This window comes from Homo sapiens, chromosome 14, assembly GCF_000001405.40.
Source record: "Homo sapiens chromosome 14, GRCh38.p14 Primary Assembly".
In the NCBI taxonomy this organism is placed as follows: domain Eukaryota; kingdom Metazoa; phylum Chordata; class Mammalia; order Primates; family Hominidae; genus Homo; species Homo sapiens.
The window spans coordinates 106,514,693-106,536,273 of record NC_000014.9 but is presented as its reverse complement, the minus strand read 5'-3'; the positions used below and the strand labels follow the sequence as shown (position 1 = coordinate 106,536,273).

Here is a 21,581-nt window from a genome sequence, read left to right as displayed (position 1 = left end):
GGCAGCCTAAGGTCAATACTGCTGGCCGTCGGGAAAGACAGGCTGGAATTCCTGGGAAGACCTGCATCTGCCATCTACCACGGAGTCCTATGGTCTTCTGTTACACTCTCTTTGAATCAGCACCACCTAGATTATCTAAAACACTCTTTGTGACTTCATGACTGGGAAAAAATAATGGCAGTCTCTACTAACACCTGTGTTAAGCCATGGGAGCAACACCTAGGCTAGTGTGTGATTGAGTAGTTGAGACTGTGGTCTAGTCAAGGTGACACATAAAATTGATTGTTGCCATTATGATATTTTATTTTATATTTGACAATATAATCATGCTCATATTATAAATATTTCTGTTACATTATTTGTGTCAGAGGCTTTGGAACCAGAACAACTTCATCTTGAATAAGGGGTAGGAAAAATAAGACTGAGACCTGCTGGGCTACATTCCCAGTAAGCTAAGGCGTTCTTAGTCACAGGATGAGATAGGAGGTCTGCACAAGATCCAGGTCATAAAGACCTTGCTAATAAAGTTTACAGTAAAGAAACTGGGCTGAAGCCCACCAAAACCAAGATGGTGACAAAAGTGACCTCTGTTTGTCCTCATTGCTCATTATATGCTAAGTATTATGCTTTAACATTCTAAAAGACACTCCCCACAGAGCCATGACAGTTTACAAATGCCATAGCAACATCAGGAAGTTTCCCTAGAAACTAAAGAGTGGAGGAAACCTCAGCTTTGGGAATTGCCCGGGGAATTCATGAATAATCCTTCTTTTGTTTAACGTATAATCAAGAAATAACCATAAAAATGGACAACCAGCAGCCCATACCACTTCTCTGCCTATATAGTAGCCATTCTTTATTCTCTTACTTTCCTAATAAACTTGCTTTCCTTTTATTCTGTAGATTTGCCCCAATTGGGATCCCTTTCCAGTAACATTTGTGTTATTATTGGTTTTCTAAGCAGAAAACTCTGAGAGGAGGTGTCAGCCGGGCTTCCTGGGTTGAGTAGAGGCTCAGAAAGCAGTGAAACTCACTCATTTCCTGCATCAGGACTTACTTTGGTCCTGGATGAATAATATTGAAGATATATGCTTAAAATATTCCTAACATCACAATTTGTGCATGTGTTTTCTTCCCTAAGAAAGCTATAAACAGTGAAAATTTTGCTGTAAGCTTCCCTGTGTCCTCTCTCCCTCTCTCCATTCCCCCTCCCCTGAAACTAAAAGGAATGTTTTAACATTATGGGCTTTTAAGTCTGTATTTCTGTGACCAGCAGACCTTATCTATGCTCCCAATTCAAATTCCTTGTAAACACAATTTGTAAAATCCTGCGAGATCCTGTCTCCTTGGCCACGCCACTGCAAGGTCATAAAGTAGATCAAACTTAAGTTACAATTCTGATTTTCCTCAAGATCTGAGACATGTTAATTGTCTTTGTTTCTTGCTCAGGTAACATCTCTTTTTGCTCTTTTTTATCTCTTTTTGCACTTAAATCTAAGTTTACATTAGTCATGTATCTAGAATGTAGAAATATGTCTTAAAGTTACTTAACTTTTTAAAAAATTTATGGGGTTTCCAGAAGATGTGAGAACCTCCTTTATTTATAAAATAGCTGATTGCACGTTGCTCAATAATTTCCTCTTTAATTTATCTCTCTCCTGTCACATTATACTATGATAAGCAAAAAGAAATGAAGGCATACCATCAACAGTTTACTTAGATATCTCCTCAGCTAAATTTCTAAGGTATAATTTACTAATTCTAATTTTATCCAATTTAACATAATTAAGATAAATTATATAACAAGGTACACATATGTTCCAGTTCTAACACCATGTTTGTGACAGAAATAAAACAGAGCTTCTCTCTGTAATGTGGTCATCTGAGCCCTGAGGTGATGGGTCACACAGGTATTTTTATGATATTTAAGGGTTTGGTCAAGAACAGTGATAACAAGTCTGAACAAGACTGGTCATACTTGAAAGGTTACAGGTAAAGTTACTGCTGTTATTTTATATTAACGCCTTATTAGAATAAAGCTCAGAGGAAGAGGCCACATCCTAGGTCACAGTAGGAGGAGGAATGGAGCTGTGCTCTGCTCTCCACACTACTTTTCACATCCCAGGCACAAGCCCAGGTTCCATGACGCACGGCATCTAGAGGGCAGTTCTCAGGGGATGATCTCAGGGCACCTGCTTCCTCGGGCAGGGCGCTTCCTTCTCTCAATTGCAGACTTGCTCCTTCTGCAAGGTCTGAAGTCAGCACTTGTATTCCCATGATTTTTACAGGTTCTCTTCCCTAATATGGCAAAAATCTTTTTATTAAATTTTCAATTTTATTTTCTCTGAAGCACACTGCATTAGCAGAAACGAATATATCACATTCCTTATCCGCCCACACAGCCAAAGATTCCTGAAGACAGAGCTGATGTGACGTACTCATAGGTGGATCTCTGCCCCTCAGAGGTGGCCTTGGTCTTCAAGTTTCAGCAATTTCTAGGAAGCCAAAGACACCTCCATCTACTCCTCCCTGCTCGACAGCTCACCTGAGAACAGCTTTCTCATTGGAATGTCTTGTGTTTAAGAAATAAAAGTTGCTGTTTGAGGTTAGGGAGCCCAGGTGCACCTACCAGATCCAGCCCAGGATTGGAGATACTTTTCAGAAGACAACATCACCTGAGACACGACCAGTCCCACTGTTTCACTTTCACAATTTCAGCTTCTTCAGAAGAAAATTAAAATTGTTGAGACTTGTTCATAAGCGTTGTGCCATGTCCTTTCTCTGTTTTCTTGCCTGTTCATTGATGTCATGCCAGGTGCCACTTCTATGTAATAGGATCAGAATTCTGCCTCTAGTAACACATCAGAGGTGAGGTTTGATTGTACTTTTGGTTTATGCTCCAAAACGTAGATTATAAAATTCATCACCCTCATTTTTATGTCAAAAGTAATCTGCATAATCTGGATGTCAATACTTTTTGGAATCTATGAAATAACAGAAATTGCAAGAAATATTACCCACTCCAAACCTGGAGAGACAGGCATGTGCAGAATGGCAATTGACACCTGCTTAACTGGAGCAGAAGCTGCAGAAGCCACAAGCTGTTGAGGGCACTTACATGGTAAGCACTACAGACGTCTGAAGACAGATGTGGACTCAGTAAATGTAACAGTTCCAGAGGGTCTTATACTTCTAAGTTTTCTGGAATTTCTTTCCAGAAACCTCAAGATTCTAAAATGTACATTCCAAAGACATTTCCTATAGATCAAAATTGCAGATATTAATTACTGAGAAACATACCACGAGCCTTCTTCAAAAGCTTCTACAGGAAAGGACTTTTCCAGAACCTTATCCTATGTGAAGGAAGACAAATCTCCCACTGCAGATTTCTCTCCCATTCTTCCATAATTGTAGAAATGAGTAAAGTTAGCCAATAGAGGTAAGATATAAGTAAATAATCCAGGGATGCTGAAAACAAAAAAGGGAGTAATCGCCCAAAATGAGCTTTTCCCCTGGAGACGCCTGGTCAAGATCATAGGCCAGAAGAGGAAGCTGACTGTGTCTCTAGGTTTCCACTGTCAGAACAGGCAGTGCTTACCTGCACTGCACAATCCATTCTAACCAGGATGATGGCTCTGGATTAAAGGTGAAAGTGTGGCAATGCACAGACTCTATCTGAGGAGAACACAGGAAAACTAAAGGACAACGGCAGAGGGTGAGACAAGAACAGTAGAGCAATCTGAAGCCTCTGACATCATGATTTTTAAGACCAATGTCTTAAACACTCCTTCATTGACCTCAGCTTCTTTCATCATGAAGCCTTTGCAGTGACTCTATCTGAGAAAAAGAAAATAACCTCCTGCATGCACTTCTCAAGTCTCTGCTTGTATCCTGTTTGCTTTAGGTCTCTAGGGGAAAAAGTCAGATACCTGGACCTAGTGTCAGTGTAGGAGGCACATCCTAAAAGCTACAAACTAGGAAGAAGGGAAGATGGGTGTTATTGGAATAGTGGATATGGAGTGGGCTTTCTTCTGAAAGTATATGCACCTGCTGGTATTCTCAGATGCAACATTCAACTGCAAGAGCCCATTGAAGAAACAAGGCACTCCCAAATCTCCTGTAAGATTCTGTATTCATTTCAGATAAGCCCACATGTCCCCGCATTAACTTTTTCTTCAGACAAGCACATACATCTGAAACTGAACAGCTATGTGGCAAAATAAGCTCAGGATAGAAGTAATTGTGGACTCCAGCTCTGACAATTTGTAGATCTGCATTTTTAAAATTCTAACTGAAGACTTTGCTTTATTGTAGAGGACAGTGGTTTACAGCTCGAATTGCACAGCCTACAGGCAGATGTCCATTTCCTCTGGGCAAGGTTTATTTTTATTTGTTTACTGTACTTATTTGTTGACAAACATTGATACTATAAAGATACCCTAACAGCGTCCACATGAAAGAAAAAGAAAGAGCAATGGACACATCAACCCTGAACATCCAGTCCCAGGAATCCTTTGACCCTGCCCTCCTTGCAACCCAGAGATATAGATTGGATGAGCCCTGCTGAGCAGAACACACATGTCCCCAGGAGAAAGACATGGAAATGAGGCCCCTCCCTGCTAATGAAAAGCAGCTCTTCCCCTCTTCTCCTGCAGGTCCTGGTGAGGAGCCACCCAATATCTGTGCCCTTCCTCAGTGTCCACACCATCGGGTCTATGATGATCTGGGCTTCACTTGTCATCACTCTCAATATTGAGGTTCCCCGTTAAACAGACTGAGTGAACTGTGGCTGCTCCACGTGGGGGCTGTTCTCAGTCTGTTGCTTCTGTGCTTGCAGAGGTCCCCTGTGAAGTTAATTACTGGAGTCTCTCAGAGAAATACTACAGACCAAGAATTCTCAGACTTTTCTGGAAACCCTGTGGATTCACTTTCACTGAAAACAGCATAAGCTTGGTCCAGCAGGCTTCATGACAGGGGTGGGTGTAGGTGATAACATCAGTAATTCAAGTGGAAGTTCTCAGTGGGACTCTCCTTGAGTACAAAGAAGATTAACAGTCCTCAGAGACACGCTTTTCAGATGATTCTCTCTTAAGATGATTAACCTGAGAGCTCAGGAAAATTCCGTTTATTACTGTGAGGGACACGGTGAGGGGACATCTGTGTGAGCTCAGACACAAACCTGCCTGCAGGGAGACACAAACCTCCCTGCATGGTAGATGCTTCTCAGAACCACCAGGGGGTGCACAGGAAACCAGAAGGTGCTCAGGACACCAGGGGGTGCTCAGAACCACCATGACTCACTCAAGACGCCAGGGGCGCTCAGAACCACCGTGGGGCACTCAGGACACCAGGGGGACTCAGGAAACTAGGGGGTACTCAGAACCACCAGGCGGTGCTCAGGACACCAGGGAGCTCTCAGAACCATCTGGGGGCACTGAGGAAACCAGGGGACTCAAACACTAGGGTGTGCTCTGAAGCACCAGCGGACCCTCAGGACTGCAGGGGGCGCTCAGGACACTAGGGAACACTCAGAACCACCAGGAAGCGCTCAGAACCACCAGGGGGCCCTCAGGACATCAGAGCGTGCTGAGGACCTCCGGGGGCGCTCAGGACCTTCAGAGAGTGATCAGAACACCAGAGGGCGCTCAGAACACCAGGAGGTGCTCAGGACAGCAAGGGGCTCTCAGGACACTAGGGTGTGCTCAGTAAACCAGGGGTCCCTCACAACCACCAGGGGGCACTCAGGACACCAGGGGATGCTCAGGACACCAGGGGCCACTGAGGACACCACCGCTCCCTTAGCAGGCAGCTCCACATCAGGCCCCTGGGTTGGGGCAGGAAGGGTGTTTTCCTTTTGGATCTTGCCACTAAACTCTTGGGAGTTTTTCTCCTTCCTTTGTGGTTTCAAGAAACATTGGTAGATTCTTCTCAGGTATAAAGCTCTGCTTTCTTGGATTATGTAATGTTTTTGGTTTCGGATGTTACCAGAATTACACTGCACTGTGAGAGGATTCATTCCTCGTGTGTGCAATAGTGAATGAAAGCTCCAATGTTAGGGGTGGCTTTGAAAGCTACGTTAGGGGTGGCTGAGGGCAGTTAGCAGGAAATGATCATCACTATAGAAGGCTACTCATTTCTTTGCACATTTCCATAAATAATTGTAGTTTATGCCCTAAAAACTGCATGTTTTCTTGGCCCTTTTTCTTAAATGCCTCCAATCCAAGACCAGTCATCTAATTAAGCTGTATGTCAAAGACCACCAATCAAGTTAAGTCTGTTTAATGAAACACTTTGTAAACAAAAAAGTACATCTGTGTTTGTATAGTCAGCTTTAAATTTTACATTGCTTTACAAATATTAATTTTGTAAATTTAGTCTCATAATTATCGTCAGTATTTAAAATCTTAAAGTCTTGCTATGTTAAATTAAGTAATCTTAGCTTTCTCACTATGAATTAGAGTTACTAAGAATTAGAATAGTAAGAGCATGTAATAAGCTTTTGGTGAAGTTTATAAAGAAAGATGAAGATACATTTTTTGCTTTAAAATATTTTGTTTTCCAGTTTACAGGACCTTTCTACTGGTTTTAAGATAACAATCACTGTTTACATCTAACCCTTTTTTTAAACACCTGCTGTTTAAGATTATAAAATTATAAAATTAAAAACCTAGTTAAAACCAGATTGATCTTTGTAATTTAACAAGATGTTCAGTATTGTTGTTTTAATAAAAAAAAATAGGTAAATACTTAGCTACTAGAAAAATAATCATCTACTTAATCATAAGGTTTTACTTAGGTAAACACCTAAATTTCATGGGTTATAAACATGGTTAATAGGTGAAAAACTTTAATGGACAAGTATTACAGTTTTCATAAATATTCTAGGTAAGCTATTTAAAAAATAAATTAGGTAAATGAAATAAAATAAACCATTTAAATAAACTTGTTCTACAATTTAAAAATCTAAAGTTTAATTAAATAATATATATTATATAAATGTTTATGCATTACTAATTGTTTAAAATATATATACTATAAGGAAAACTTTTTAAAAATACATATTATAAGAAAATATTTTTTGAAAACATTTGTTTTTAGAAAAATAATTTATTTAATTCAAAGGTTAATTATAAAATGTCATAAACATACCCAGTTAATAAGAGAGGTTTAAAGAAAGTTCTAGACATAGAGAAGTACTTTTGGTAAGAAAGGTTAAAATAAAAAAAAATTATATGAGAGGGAATTTTGTAGGATAACTTTTTATATATAAAAGTGACTATTTATGAAAGAATAATGTTTAGAATAAAACAAGATGTTCAAGTATGCCATAAATGGTTCGTGTAAGTCAAAATAAGGTTTATAGAAAGCTAACTTATTAAAAAAACTTCATGTTATCGAGTTGACTATAATTGAAAGGGAAGAATTTATTATAGTCTTTATAGGGATCTGGCTTTCATATGAAAATATACTAACACACTGAAGATTGGTTAGAATGACAAAATTGTCTTAAAGTATTGATTTATTCAATAAAATTATAAGGTATTATAATTTTTTAACCCAAAATTTTAACTTTTGTTGCATCTTGCCATTTTTATTTTTTTCCATTTGAGAAGGCTTGAGAGGATCTCAACTTTTTCATCAGCTCCTTTAACATTGTTTCTTACTTACAGCAGTTAGCCTCTGAGTTAACTTCTAACTGTTGTTAGTTTCTGACTGCTATTATTTCCTGATGTTAAAATCCTCTATCTTAAAGTTCTAAATAAAATGTTTTCTTTCAATATAATATTCAGTGTCGTTGGCTTTTCTTTAACTGTCTAAATTTTTCTATGAAACCAAAATCTTCACTTGTAAAGACACATTCTTCCTAGGTCTGATTAATTCAAATACTTTTTTCATTAGAGTTGACTTGCAGGTTATGTACATGGAGTTCCCCATAGGAAAAAACAGTCACAGTGCAGAAGGCTTTATTTTTGCTATTTGGTAACTGGCATGAGACAAATTTTAAATTTCATTGAAATAATTCCTATGTAAGTGTTATTAAGTTTTTCAACTACTTAGTAATACTGAGAGTTTAAGACAATAGAAATTAATGTTATGACATTCATGTAACTATCTGTATAACTTTTAAAGTCCTTGTGCTGCTACTTTACTGAGCTTTGAATCCTAGGTCTAAAAAGGACACACAACACTTTGGGAGGCTAAGGTGGGCAAATCACCTGAGGTCAGAAGTTAGAGACCAGCCTGGCCACCATGACAAAACCCCATCTTTACTAAAAAATACAAAAATTAGCTGGGCATGGTGGCAGGTGCCTGTAATCCCAGCTACTTGGGAGCCTGAGGCAGAGAGAATTGCTTGAACTCGGGGAGGTGGACGTTGCAGTGAGCAGATATTGCACTACTGCACTCCAGCCTGGGTGACAGAGTGAGACTCCATCTCAGAAAAAATAAATAAATAAAATAAAAAATAAAAAGGACACCAAGTCCAGCTAAATCTTAAACACCGACAGCAATTAAAGCCCCATCTACAGACCTGGAAGAAAATGACAAGAAAAATTGATCACACTCTCAAGACACAAGCCCAGAAATTGAAACTACTTAACCACCCCAGCCCCAGGGACTATTACAGAAGAAGTGGCTTTGTAAGATTGTAAAAGCTAATTTTGAGAGATGAAATCGGTTCAGAGTTTCTTTATAAATTAAACATTAATGCAAGGCTAGCATCTGGGCCCCTGTGCCAGATTGACCAGGGTTTCTTGAAGAATTAATCCACATTTAAATTTAAAAAACAGATAAAACTGTATAAAAGATCTATGCAAATTATTTTTATGGTAAAAGTAATTATAATTTAATAGATTTATTTTTCAGAATTGATAGTTTTAACTTTTCTCATGCTGTTCTTCTAAGGGGTTATATTTTAGAAAATCAATTCTACTCTTTCAAAAATATTTTTTTTCTTTTTTTTAGAAATCACTGAGTTTTCATGTGGCTAAATAAATAACTTATTTTACAATAATCTGTAATCCTATTTTGTAATATCAAGTGTTGTAAACTTTTGATATTTGACAAAGTTCACAAAATAAAATTCTAAATTCAGTCATTTGAACACCCTGAAAAGAAACACATTTAGCTTATTTGGTACAGTTAAATTATACAGGAAGTAATGTCAAATTTGCAATGGTTATTAACTTTGGACTATATTTATATAAATGTGGACTATATAATTTGAATATACTTATGTAAAGAGTATATGTTCCAAAATTCTATTAGATTCAAGTGATTTTTATATGTCTTAGTATCAGTAGTACTTATGATTATAATTTAAAATTTTTGTTTATCACAGAAATAACCAAATTTTCTCCTCAATTCTGTCTTTAACCAGGGGTATTCTAAAAGGTCGGTCATTCACAATTGTTGTTTTACTTTGATTCTTTATCAGGTGGCTTATAATAATCTATAGAACTTTGAGTAGTACTCTTAAATATACAATATACAATTTTGACAATTTTATAAATTGTGCCTTTGGTATAGAGAGAAAAACTTCCATGAGTCTCATGAGACCTGAAGCATTTATGATGATTGTTAATCTAATATCAAGCAGGACAGGATGTAATTGCATGAACTGAATGAAAAGGAGACTGAAATAATTTTTATAACTTATTCTTTAAAGCATTTGCTATTTACTTATGTTTTATTGTTCAGAATCAAGAAAACTTTGTCTTTTAAGCTATTCACAGTTTTTAACAATTTTAACTATACTCTATTGAGAAAAATTGAAAATATAATTTCTTCTTCTCTACATAATTTCTCCAAAATTTGGAAACTGTAGGTATTCTTATATCAAAATAGTTATTTGCATAGGTTCGATAAAAATCTGCTTTCTTCCATAACAGAGCACAATTAGAGACAATGGTCACTTTACCAAGGCTTTAACTTGAATGACATATTTTCTGATTTACTTTATAAAATGAAGAGCTGTACAGCTGATATAAGCCCCTTTGGAAAACTGGCATTTTACCTTTTTTTTTTTTTTTTAACAGGGCCCTGAGCTGTAGTAAGTAAATAATTTTGCTTTCTGACAGGCCCAGGAAACCCAAGTTTTCTTGGATACTTGAAAAAATAAAAAGTAAACCAATCCATATAGCTATCTGATGGCACAGATAAAATATTGGCTGGGCTTGAGGCTTTTAAAGATCTTACCCTTAGATTCCTTATAAAAAATAGCAAAAGCAATGTATGAATAAAACAGCCTATGTACAACAAACAACAACAAAAACAAAAACAATAAAAAGAGAGCTAATATGTTAAGTGATTATTTTTGCTGCATCTTATACAAAAAAATCAGGCCAAGTATAATAAGCCTAAAATTTATTTTACAAATAAATTAGTCCTATTATGATTTTGTCTCCAATAAAATTGGGGAATTATAGGGAGAAATATTCTTTCAAAATAAACTATAGTGCATCTGTTATTAGGTTCTAACCTTGTCCACTTGTTTTTCAATTTACAATATTTTCTACAATTTGGACTCAATTTTAAAATATTTCTTTCCACAAGTCTCCAAAATAACATTTTCAGTGATTTTCTTTTTAAATATTTTTTTCCTATTTGAAATCTCCAGAAGGTAAACTGTGCTTTCTTACAGCTAGTCAACTTAAACTCTAAAATAAAATAAAATCAATGATATGGTTTGTCTCTGTGTTCCCACCAAAATCTCAGTTTGTATAGTAATAATTTCCACATGTCAAGGGTGGAAGGAGGTGAAGATAATTGAATCACGGGACGTGTTTTCTCCATGCTTTTATCCTATTAGTGAGTGAGTTCTCACAAGACCTGATGGTTATATAAAGGGCCTCCCTCTTCACATGACACTTCTCTCTCCTGCAGCCATGTGAAGAGGTACGTGTTTGCTGCCCTTTCCATCATGACTGTAAGTTTCTTGTGGCCTCCCCAGCCATGTAGATCTGTGAGACAATTAAACCTTTTTTTTAAATAAATTATCCAGCATCAGGTATGTCCTTATAGCAGCATGAAAATTGTCTAATACCAGCAACTTAATTATATACAAAAATTCCTTTTATACCCTCCTACTGTGAAGGGAAAATAAATCTTGAGACCCCAAAATTACTAAGCTAAAGAGAAGAGTCAATGTGGTGTTACAGGAGATAGAAAGAAATTATTTAGGTAGATAGTTGGGATGAGAGAGTCTCTGGCAAAATAACTTTTCTTCTAACAAAAATCAGCTCAGAAATAACTTCTTCTCTAATTACACACAGTTCAAAGAAATCACTTCTAACAAAAAGCAGACTAAATAATCAGGCTGTGAAATATAGATAAGCAACTCTGCCACAGAGAGGGTGTTTCTGGGTGTAATCACCAAACCTCACATATATAGGATGGGTCCCAGTAAAAACAGTGAGCCTTAATAAGCACATTCCTTTTCTTTTCTGGGAGTACACTAAGATAGAAAAGCTGGAAGCTTGCACGGGGTTTGCGACGCCGGCACCTGTGAGGAAGTACCTGGGACCAGGCAAGAAAACCCTTCTGGCCTTTCTTAGCACATGCACGGTGGAAGAAGATAAGCAGTGTGGAGGAGATCAAGCAAAGTGCCCGCCTGCCCAATGAAAGCATGAGGTGGGGTTGCCAGAGACTTTGCTCTATGCAGATGGCACACATTGTCCTAACTGTTTTTGCACCCTATGCTGATAAGACACCGTCTCCCCACGAGCACATTTATAAAAATCCTTACATTTTACTGCAGCACGATAACCCATTTGGGACCCCTCTCTGTGACAGACAGCTTTTTTTTTATTTTACCTATTAAACTTGTGCTCTAACCTCACCCTTAGCATGTCTGCGACCTTGATATTCACGGCCGTGAGACAAAGAAGTTCGGGTGGTATTCCAGACAACGAGGCTGCCATACTGGAAAGTGCTTTGGGCAAATCTGCCTCCCCTTCTGTTTAAAGTGATTCCTCTGAGGCTAACCTGAGACCAATACACAGCTGATTGCTTCCTCTTCACTATCATTTATGTAAAAACGAAGATCCACTGAGTCAGACTAAATTGTGCATTCAGTGGTAGGCTAATAAAGTACTCAAAAGAACGCAACCTATTGTCTCTTATCTACTTCTAAACTGCAGTCCGTGCTTTTGATTCGTCCTGCCTTACAGGAAAAATCCAAAGTACATTTTACATATATTGATTGATGTCTCATGTCTCTCTAAAATGTATAAAAGCAAGCTGTACTTCAATCGCCTTGGGCACATGTCTCAGGACTTCCTGAGGATGGTCATGGGTGAGTTATCTTTGGCAAGATAAACGTATTAGTCTGTTCTCCTGCTGCTAATAAAACATAACAAAGACCGGGTAATTGATAAAGGAAAGAGGTTTAATTGACTCACAGTTTCACATGGCTGGGGACACTTCACAATCTTGTCAGAAAAGCAAGCGACATCTTACACGGTGGCAGACTAGAGAGAGCTTGCTCAGGGCAACTCCTCTTTACAGAACCATCAGATCTAATGAGAAGTATTTACTATCATGAGAACAGCATGGGAAAGACCTGCCCCTGTGATTCAATTATCTCTCATTGGGTCCTTCCCATGACACATGGGAACTGCAGGACTAGAATTCAAGGTTAGATTTGGATGGCGACACAGACAAACCACATTAGTAAACTTCCTAAATTGACTGAGACCTGTCTCAGATATTTGTCGTTTACCTTATTCATGTTCAGCCTTCAGAGTTCCAAGGCCTATATCAGTTTTCCAGGATTGTTTCCCCTTTTTGTTGTTTGTTATTTCCTCCTTTATTTATATGTTTTACTTCTCTTTTTTCTCCCACTATTTTCTTATTAATGGATGTGAAACTTCACAACATTTGAAATATAGGTAACAATGAACTATAATAACAACTTGGGACCTATTTATCTAGAAATAATCCGTCCTACCCATGAAAGAAAAAAACAAAAACAAAAACAGAAGCCCAGAAACTTATTTTGTGGTAAAATGCTTCCTCTGAAATATTTTGGAAAGGAAAAAGTTGGGAAGATATGAAATGAAAATAAAAACTTATGATGTCAATTCATTACGTCATGAGGGGGGAAAAAACTAAAGGATGATCCATGCAAGAAACTGATTTTCCTTTCATTCCTAAGAAAATAGCCACAGACAGATAAAATGTTAGATATCTTCACAGATAGCTACAATTTGTTCATCTTTGAAATACTTAGTGCAGGAGAACCACTTGATATTCTATTTCCCTATGTGCTTCTTTTTCATTACTACATGTAAGTTTTCATGCAATTCCTCTTTCCCCTCTAGCCAGCTTTTCCCCTTTATATATTGAAAGCCCTAAAAAATGTCTTTTGGGAATGGCACTAACCACGCATTGTTTCTGTGATTACTTTTCTTCCAAGCATGCCATAACTTTGGAAAAATTAATTTTAATTTGATTGAGAGCTCTCTCAGAAACCTTTGGTTACACTAGGCAAAATCCAAAATCAGGAGCCAATTATTGTAAAAATCAGCCATAGTACACTGTGCGTCTGTGTGTGTGTGTGTGTGTGTGTGTACATGTGTGTTTTAATTTTTGCGAGCTTTGAGCCATGTAGTTCTCTCTGTGGAGATGCTATTTGGCGTGACTTTGAATAGAGAATTCTAAAAGAAATAAGAAGCTCCTATGAGTTCTCTGAAAGTTTCTGGACTCACCATGGATCTTGACTGTGTCACTGCATCTGACAGTCCCAGGGAACAGACTCTCTGGTGGTTTCATAGAATCTATGCTTGGGCTCTCCCTGCAGTTTACTGGGTATAGTAATGACAAATCACTGTTTCAAGAGACAATTTCAAAAGCATTAGATGCTGCTGAGAGAGGATTGTGAACCAGGGAACTGCCCCTTTCTTCTTGGAGAGCGACATTGGGAGAATATGCTCTGTGAGCCCAAACAGCATCCTCCCCTGCAGGGTGAGGGCAGAGCTGCAGGACAGGCCCAGAACCCACTCCACACAGATGTCAGCCCTGGAGCTGCTGCAGAGGAGTCTGAGGAGAAAATTTTTCCAGCACCTGAATTACACTTATTTCAAAACAAAAATGCAATTAAAAAGTTAAAACAAGTAATTAATGTCCAGGCACAGTGGCTTACACCTATAATCCCAGAAATTTGAGAGGCTGAGGTGGGAAGATTTATTGAACCCAGGAGTTTGAGATCAGTCTGTGAAAAATAGTGAGGCTTCATCTTTATTTTTGAAAATAAAAATAAAATAAAACATAAAAAATTTAGCAAAAACTACAATGCGTCTTTACATACCCCATCATACTTGAAGCATTTACCTAACCCAATGAGGTGATGAGGACCCAATTTGAAAGGAGAAAATTTTAGACTTTTCATATATCTTAATAGTTGGAAGATGTAGAAGAAATATATTTATATCAATTAAATGTGTGCAAATATTGACAGACACACCATACCAGGAGTTCAACTTGCAAAGGGTAAAACCAAAAAAGTTTGAGATTGTTAATGTGCCATTTGAAGGTGAGATCGTTTTGAGGACCATGTCCTGTGAGAGTTTGTTTCTCTATTAGAGGAGTTCTGTACTCATAAAGTTCTGGACATGCCAGGAGACAAGTATCAGTAAACAAATATCAGAACTTGAACTTCAGCTTCCCACTCTTGCATTCTCCATGTGTCATCTCTCTACTATTTCTCATTCTAGATCAGGTCTTTAGCTATGAAATATTCCACCTAATTAACATGTAAATAGATTGAAGTCCACAGAGTTAAATATGTATATTTTCTCCTGTTTTTCCCAGTTGTTCCCTCCCACAGCTCCAATATTCTCCACTGTTACCATCACCTTCTAGATCTGCTGCCATGCCCTGCAGATTAAGGATTTGATTCCACGACAGAGAGGAGGTGCATTTCAATGGAACTTTGGTGAGAACCTCGGTTTTTATCCCATTTCCTCTGGGGCTCCACCAGTGCATCTGGAATAATGGGTTCAGTGGCTGGCCCCTGCAGGGTGATTCCTTAGTTCTGTAGTGAAGATGAGGGAGGTGGGTCTGAATGCATTTCAGAAGTATGGGCTCTCCTCTCTCAGACAGACACTTTGGGAAAATAAGATTTTTCTGACTGCACCCATTCTAGAACAAAGGAATTCAATTGGATAAGAATGCTGATAAAAAAAAACTCAAACCAAATTAAATTTAAAGGAGTTTAATTGAGCAATGGATGATTCATGAATTGGGCAGCCCCCGGAATCACAGCGGATTGAAAGAGAATTCAGTGCAGCCATGTGGTTGAAGAAGATTTATACATTTTTTTAAATGATGTACAGAAATCAGAAGTGAGGTACAGAAACAGCTGGATTGGTTACAGGCTGATGTTTGTCTTATTTAAACACAGTTTGCACACTCAAGAGTGTATGAGTGGTTGAGGTATGGCTGCTGAAATTGGCCAACGCTCAGCTGTTGGTGAGGTGCTCAGGTACATACTCCTGAGTTAGGTTTTCAATCTCGTCCACCTATTCAGGTAGGTTACAGTTTGTCCACAAGGACTCAAACATAGAAGTACGGAGTCCTCCTCAGGCCATATTTAATTCACTTTATCAGTGCCCTTCAGCATATGGTTCCTGAGAATTTCACACGGCAACATGTTTACCACCCTAGAATTTAAGCAATCCAATACATGTAATAGGCTGTATTTCACATGGCAACTTCTGCCTCAGTTTAGCTAACACTATGGCTTTGTTTCTCTCTACAAGAACTCATTTCTCCCAAAATTTCCATTTTCCTGAAAGGAAAATAAATCTTTGGGACCCTCATATCACTAAGCCAAAGGGAAAAGCCAAGCTGAAAACTGTTTGGGGCAAACCCACCTTCCATTCTTTCCCTAAAATGATAGCTGTTAAGGTGTTTACAAGCTACATATCTCCTTCAAAATTTGACCGCACAGAAAATCCTTGTTGACCAAGGACATTGTAGACCAAGCAGAGAGTCATTTCTCTGCTCACGTAAGTCAAATGCATATCTGATTGCTCCCTTTGCTCTATTGTTTCACTAAGCCAGACTAAGGCCTATGTGACTATTCCTGTAAACTGTGCATTCAGTTAAAGGCTAATCAGAAACTCAAATAATGCAACCATTTCTCTCATACCTACCTATGATCTGGTAGCTCTCCCCCCAACTTCAATTTGTCCTGCCTTTTTGAACTAAATAAATATACCTTACATATATTAATTAATGTCTCATGTCTCCCTAAATTGTGTAAAACCAAGCTGTGTCCCACCACACTGGGCACGTATCATCAGGACTCCCTGAGGCTGTGTCACAGGCATGTCCTTAGTCCTGGAAAAATGAACTTCCTAAATCTATTGAGATTAGTCTCAGATACTCTTTGGTTTATAAGTATGTTTTCTATCTCATAACTTCAATTATCTGAAATACTAAAGGAAATCTGCCAAATAACACATTATCTTGTTTATCTGTTATTGTTGTTGCAAAAATAAATATATTTATATAATTTATGTATAATTGATCATCTTTGTACATTACCAAACTGAGTAGCAGATTTGTTAGTAAGACCCAATGTAATAAAAAATTCAAATATCAATTAGCAACTTAATAGAAAAACAAATTACGCTACATTTGTTTGCCGAAATGCTACCAATTTTTATAAAAAAATAAACACATATAACATAAATGGTTTAATTCTCAGTATTTCTATTGAGAAAAATAAGCCAAATACATAAGCGAATATACTATATTATTTCATTCTTATAAATTCTACCAAATAAATACTAGTCTAAAGAAATATGAAAACATCAGTAGTTTATAAAGAAATGGTAGAAAAAGGGAAGGGGAAAAAACAAATAATATAAAAGATCAAGAGGAATGCTGAGGGGAGTTGACTTGTTACCTCATTGAAAATAGAGATTATTTTTTCAAAGTTTACTATTGCACATGTTAAATATGTGAATTTTATCATCTGTCAGTTAAAACTCATAAAATTTATTACAAGTAAACAGCCGACATTTTATACAAAAAAGGGATGATAGGAAGAAACAAATAAATACATTAAATGTCAGATACACCAAAAACTTATCTGCCTGACCCCTAGTTGTCTCCGTAATTTTTGGATGAAAACCAGCCCACCCCTGACCCTGCTGCTCTGGGAGAGGAGCCCCAGCCTTGGGATTCCCAAGTGTTTGCATTCAGTGATCAGGACTGAACACACAGGACTCACCAGGGAGTTTGTGCTAAGCTGGGTTTTCCTTGTTGCTATATTAAAATGTGATTCATGGAGAACTAGAGAGATTGAGTGTGAGTTACATGAGTGAGAGAAACAGTGGATATGTTTGGCAATTTCTGACCTTGGTGTCTCTGTGTTTGCAGGTGTCCAGTGTGAGGATCAGCTGGTGGAGTCTGGGGGAGGCTTGGTACAGCCTGGGGGGTCCCTGCGACCCTCCTGTGCAGCCTCTGGATTCGCCTTCAGTAGCTATGCTCTGCACTGGGTTCGCCGGGCTCCAGGGAAGGGTCTGGAGTGGGTATCAGCTATTGGTACTGGTGGTGATACATACTATGCAGACTCCGTGATGGGCCGATTCACCATCTCCAGAGACAACGCCAAGAAGTCCTTGTATCTTCATATGAACAGCCTGATAGCTGAGGACATGGCTGTGTATTATTGTGCAAGAGACACAGTGAGGGGAAGTCAATGTGAGCCCAGATACAAACTTCCCTGCAGGAACGCTGGAGGAAACCAGCTGCAGGGGGCGCTCAGGAGCCACTGATCAGAGTCAGCCCAAGAGGCAGGTGCACACAGAGGCTGATTTCCTGTCAGGGTGTGGGACTTCGTCTTTTTACCATTTCTCTAGGGAACCTCTCTAAGTTCAGAATTCTGTGCTTACCAGTGTCATCTCTACATGTTTTTTAATGATTATTTTAATATGAGAACCTATTCTTACATGCACAAAATGCAGATGGATGCTTACAGAGATGAAAAGTCCTCAACCATGGTCACCAGGATCAGCCTTGAGGAAACTCAGGGGTGCCTGGTGAATCTTCTCCAGTCAGACTCAGGACAGAAACCTCTGTGAGATTCCCTGACTAGATCAGTCTTCAGGAATTTTGATACCAGCCAATAGAGAGGCTGGGACAGGGTCAGTGTCATGTAGAACCTCACAGGTTTCACGTCTGACCCTTCTCCTTCTCCTGACACTAAAGTATGCAAATCAGTATCAGCACTGATCTGGGTCCCCTTTTGCTCTTAAACCATTCTATTTCTTTTTATTTGTTGTTGTTCTTGCTTTTCCTCGTACTTCTCTTGCTCCCTGTAAAATGGGGAGGTGTTTCTTGCTGCAAAAGCCCCAAGCCTCAAGCCCATTCCCTGCAGCTCAGGCGGGGCTCAGGCTGTGGCTCCTGCAGCCACATGGGAGTGGCTGTTGGGGCTTTCTCTTCTCCCATTGCTCAGCACCCTCCAGTGTGTTGTGTGGAGACTACCTGGGAACGAATGTGGACAACAGGAGTGAAGGGGATGAGCTTGCGTGGACAAAATGGGATGTGGATGTGAAATTTATCCTGTGCTGTACAAACAACCACAGATTCAACTTCCTCACCAGTAGTATTAGAAAGAGGGTGTGAAAGTTGTCAGAATAAAAATGGAAACACTTGTGTTAACACCCTGACAAATGGAACTAGGAATGACCATGAAGAAGTTTCTCATGCATATACTCCAGAAAACAAGAACTACCGTAAATGGATTCTGCTTAACCACAGCCTTGGATAGAAGAAACCACAACCTTACAAAAATCACTTCTACAAGGATATCTTCCCAGCAACTCCCTGTTTAACCCTACAGTGATGCCACCCTTAGTCCTACAAAAATCACTTCTACAAGGATATCTTCCCAGCAACTCCCTGTTTAACCCTACAGTGATGCCACCCTTAGTCCTGATTCTAGGAGCACAGGATAATCCTCTCAAAATGACTTATGTAACCCACCTCATTTTCACTGCGTAAACCTATGGATTCACATCCTGGAGTCACTGCTGCATTTGTTCTTAATGGTCATTAGCCCCTTTCACAATATTTGAGGCTGTTTTTCTCTGATGTCTCTTCTAAAATAAAGAATTTCCAAGTGGACAGCAGTAAAGAAGCTATTTAGGAAGATGTAATGGGAAGGCATCTTTAACATTCTGTTGAATGTTTCCACATGGCACTTCAATCCCCTAAAATACTTTGCTGTATCAGCATGTGATGAATCGGAGTATAATATTGAAGGTAAAATGGGAAATACATGGGCTTTTGATGAATCAAGTCATAGGATGAGAATGTCTGTGTCCTTGAGGAAGGAGACCATGGGTTGTAAGTTCTAGTGGAGGTACCTTTGGCAAAGGGAGTTCATGAGTTTCTGAACCTTATGCTACTTTTAATTTAAGGAAGCAATTTATGATGTATGTTTACTTAAATCTTTCCAGAGACATTTGTCAGTAAGGACAGGGTAGCATTTGTGTAATAGTGATGACTTAGAGAGTTATTTTGTAATTGCTCCTGTAAGGTATGCACATTGCTCACTTGATACAGAAGTTCAAATGTCACAGGTGGAAAAACAGGAATAAAGGTGGGCAGATCACAAGGTAAGGATCACAAGGTTAACCATCCTGGCTAACACGGTGAAACCCCATCGCTACTAAAAAATACAAAAAATTAGCCAGGCATGGTGGCGGGCACCTGTAGTCCCAGCTACTCAGGAGGCTGAGGCGGGAGAATAGCGTGAGCCCGGGAGGCAGAGCTTGCAGTGAGCCGAGATCACACCACTGAACTTCAGCCTGGGCAACAGAGGGAGACTCCATCTCAAAAAAAAAAAAAAAGAAAACAGGAATAAAGCAAATTTTATGAACTGTCATGACTGTAGTTTTTGGCAAGGACATTATCATGTCAACCTGTAAATAAACAGACAACAATAAAACATATCAAATCCATGGGGAGTCTGACCTGTGTCCCTCTGTCTTATAAGCACAAGGCTTTGCCACATCCAAAATATTATTCAGGCTCCAGGGTATAAAATGCTTTTGGACTGTGGAAGGTAACAGCTCTCCCCTCAGGCAGGGGTAAGGTATCTGGGGAATGCAGAGTTGTGTTCATAAGGAAGATGTCATTATCGTGTCTTCTCCTGTGCCTGGTAGCAGGTCCTGAAGGTGAGCGTCTCAGATGTCAGACATGGGTCTATCGGGTTAGGATAGGTACATGTGACTGACAGGGACTGATTCTCCATGTAATCACATGCCCTGTCCCAGGAGCAGCTGCAGGAGTCAGCCCTGGACCTGAATAGCACACACTTACCCTCTGCCTCACCTACACTGTTACTGGCCACTCCGTCACAACCAGTCCTTACTAGTGGACCTGGATCTGCCGGCTCTCAGGGAGGGGCTGCAATGGATAAAATCCATTGCTAGTGGTGGTGGGAGTCCATTTGTCTTGTGGAAAATGGCAGCATTTCCTTATTTTATAAGGCATAATAATGCTATGTTGTGTACACATACCACATTGTCTTTATCCATTTGCCCATTGACAGACACTTAGTTTCCATATCTTGGCTGTTGTGAATACAGCTGCAATAATCACAGGAGCGCAGGTATCTTCACAAGGCGGTAATTTCATCTCTTTGGGTATATTTCCATAAGCTGCATCACTGGTCATATGGTATTTCTGTTTTAATTCATTTAGGAGCCACCACACTGTTTTGCCTAATGGTAATGATGGGAATACAGAATGTCATAGCCGCTACGAAGAACAGTTTTAGATTTGAGGTATAATCCAAAAGCAAATAATGTTTGATCAGGGTTCTCATATGAGGCTCTAATAAATAAGTCCAGAAAGTTTTCCCATCTTGGGCAAGGATGAGTTTGCCCCTAATTGTCTTTGAGGAAGAAGATTGGCAGAACGTGAGATGGAGTCTGTTGGCAGGATTCAGGATTCAGTAATAACTAGTAATGGCACAGAAAAATAGAGAGATAGAGACATACAGAGAAAGAGAGAATATGAATCTCATAAGAGGAAAATTTGCTAAATATCAGCATTGGGTTTTCAGTCATAGACACATTTGTATGAGCCAGGAACCATGGAGTCAAGTGAGGAGTGGAGAATATGTTCAGTCCAAAAATCAGCATATTCTCAGAGGCACCCATTGCCCCATCACACAGGTGGAGAATTTTGGAAACCAGTGAAGTGCGAGTTCACATTAGGTGATTAAGCTACCATGTTTCGATAAACTTTCATTAACATGCAAAGTACTTCCATAGATAACTGATGCACAAATATACGAGATGCCTTTTTGCGTTTATGGATGTCTAGAGAAAAATAAGTGAGAAAATTTTTCCAGGTTGCAGAGATCTGTTTAAGTTGCAGATTCCATAGGAGAGTGTCTTTGAATGAATACTGTTCTATTAATTAAATAGGTCAAAATTCCCTCTGTTGGAGCAGCCTTCCAATTATATAGATTTCTTTATAGCTTCTTGAGTTGTGAAACATAAACCCAAGGATTGACTTACTGGAATATGACTGCTGTGTTGATTAAATTTCTG

At 38.8% G+C, this 21,581-nt stretch overlaps 3 pseudogenes and 1 further gene; all 4 read left to right on the top strand.

Moving 5' to 3' along the window:
* The window catches only part of IGH (immunoglobulin heavy locus), a 1,293,408-nt gene that overhangs the window by 343,571 nt on the left and 928,256 nt on the right, over positions 1-21,581 (top strand).
* IGHVIII-47-1 (immunoglobulin heavy variable (III)-47-1 (pseudogene)) lies at positions 4,838-5,141 on the top strand (annotated as a pseudogene). The gene is given in 1 exon segment: positions 4,838-5,141. A coding segment is annotated over 1 exon segment (304 nt).
* IGHV3-47 (immunoglobulin heavy variable 3-47 (pseudogene)) lies at positions 17,240-17,695 on the top strand (annotated as a pseudogene). The gene is given in 2 exon segments: positions 17,240-17,289; positions 17,392-17,695. Coding segments are annotated over 2 exon segments (354 nt in total).
* IGHVII-46-1 (immunoglobulin heavy variable (II)-46-1 (pseudogene)) lies at positions 20,150-20,438 on the top strand (annotated as a pseudogene). Its single transcript is given in 2 exon segments — positions 20,150-20,195; positions 20,281-20,438. Coding segments are annotated over 2 exon segments (204 nt in total).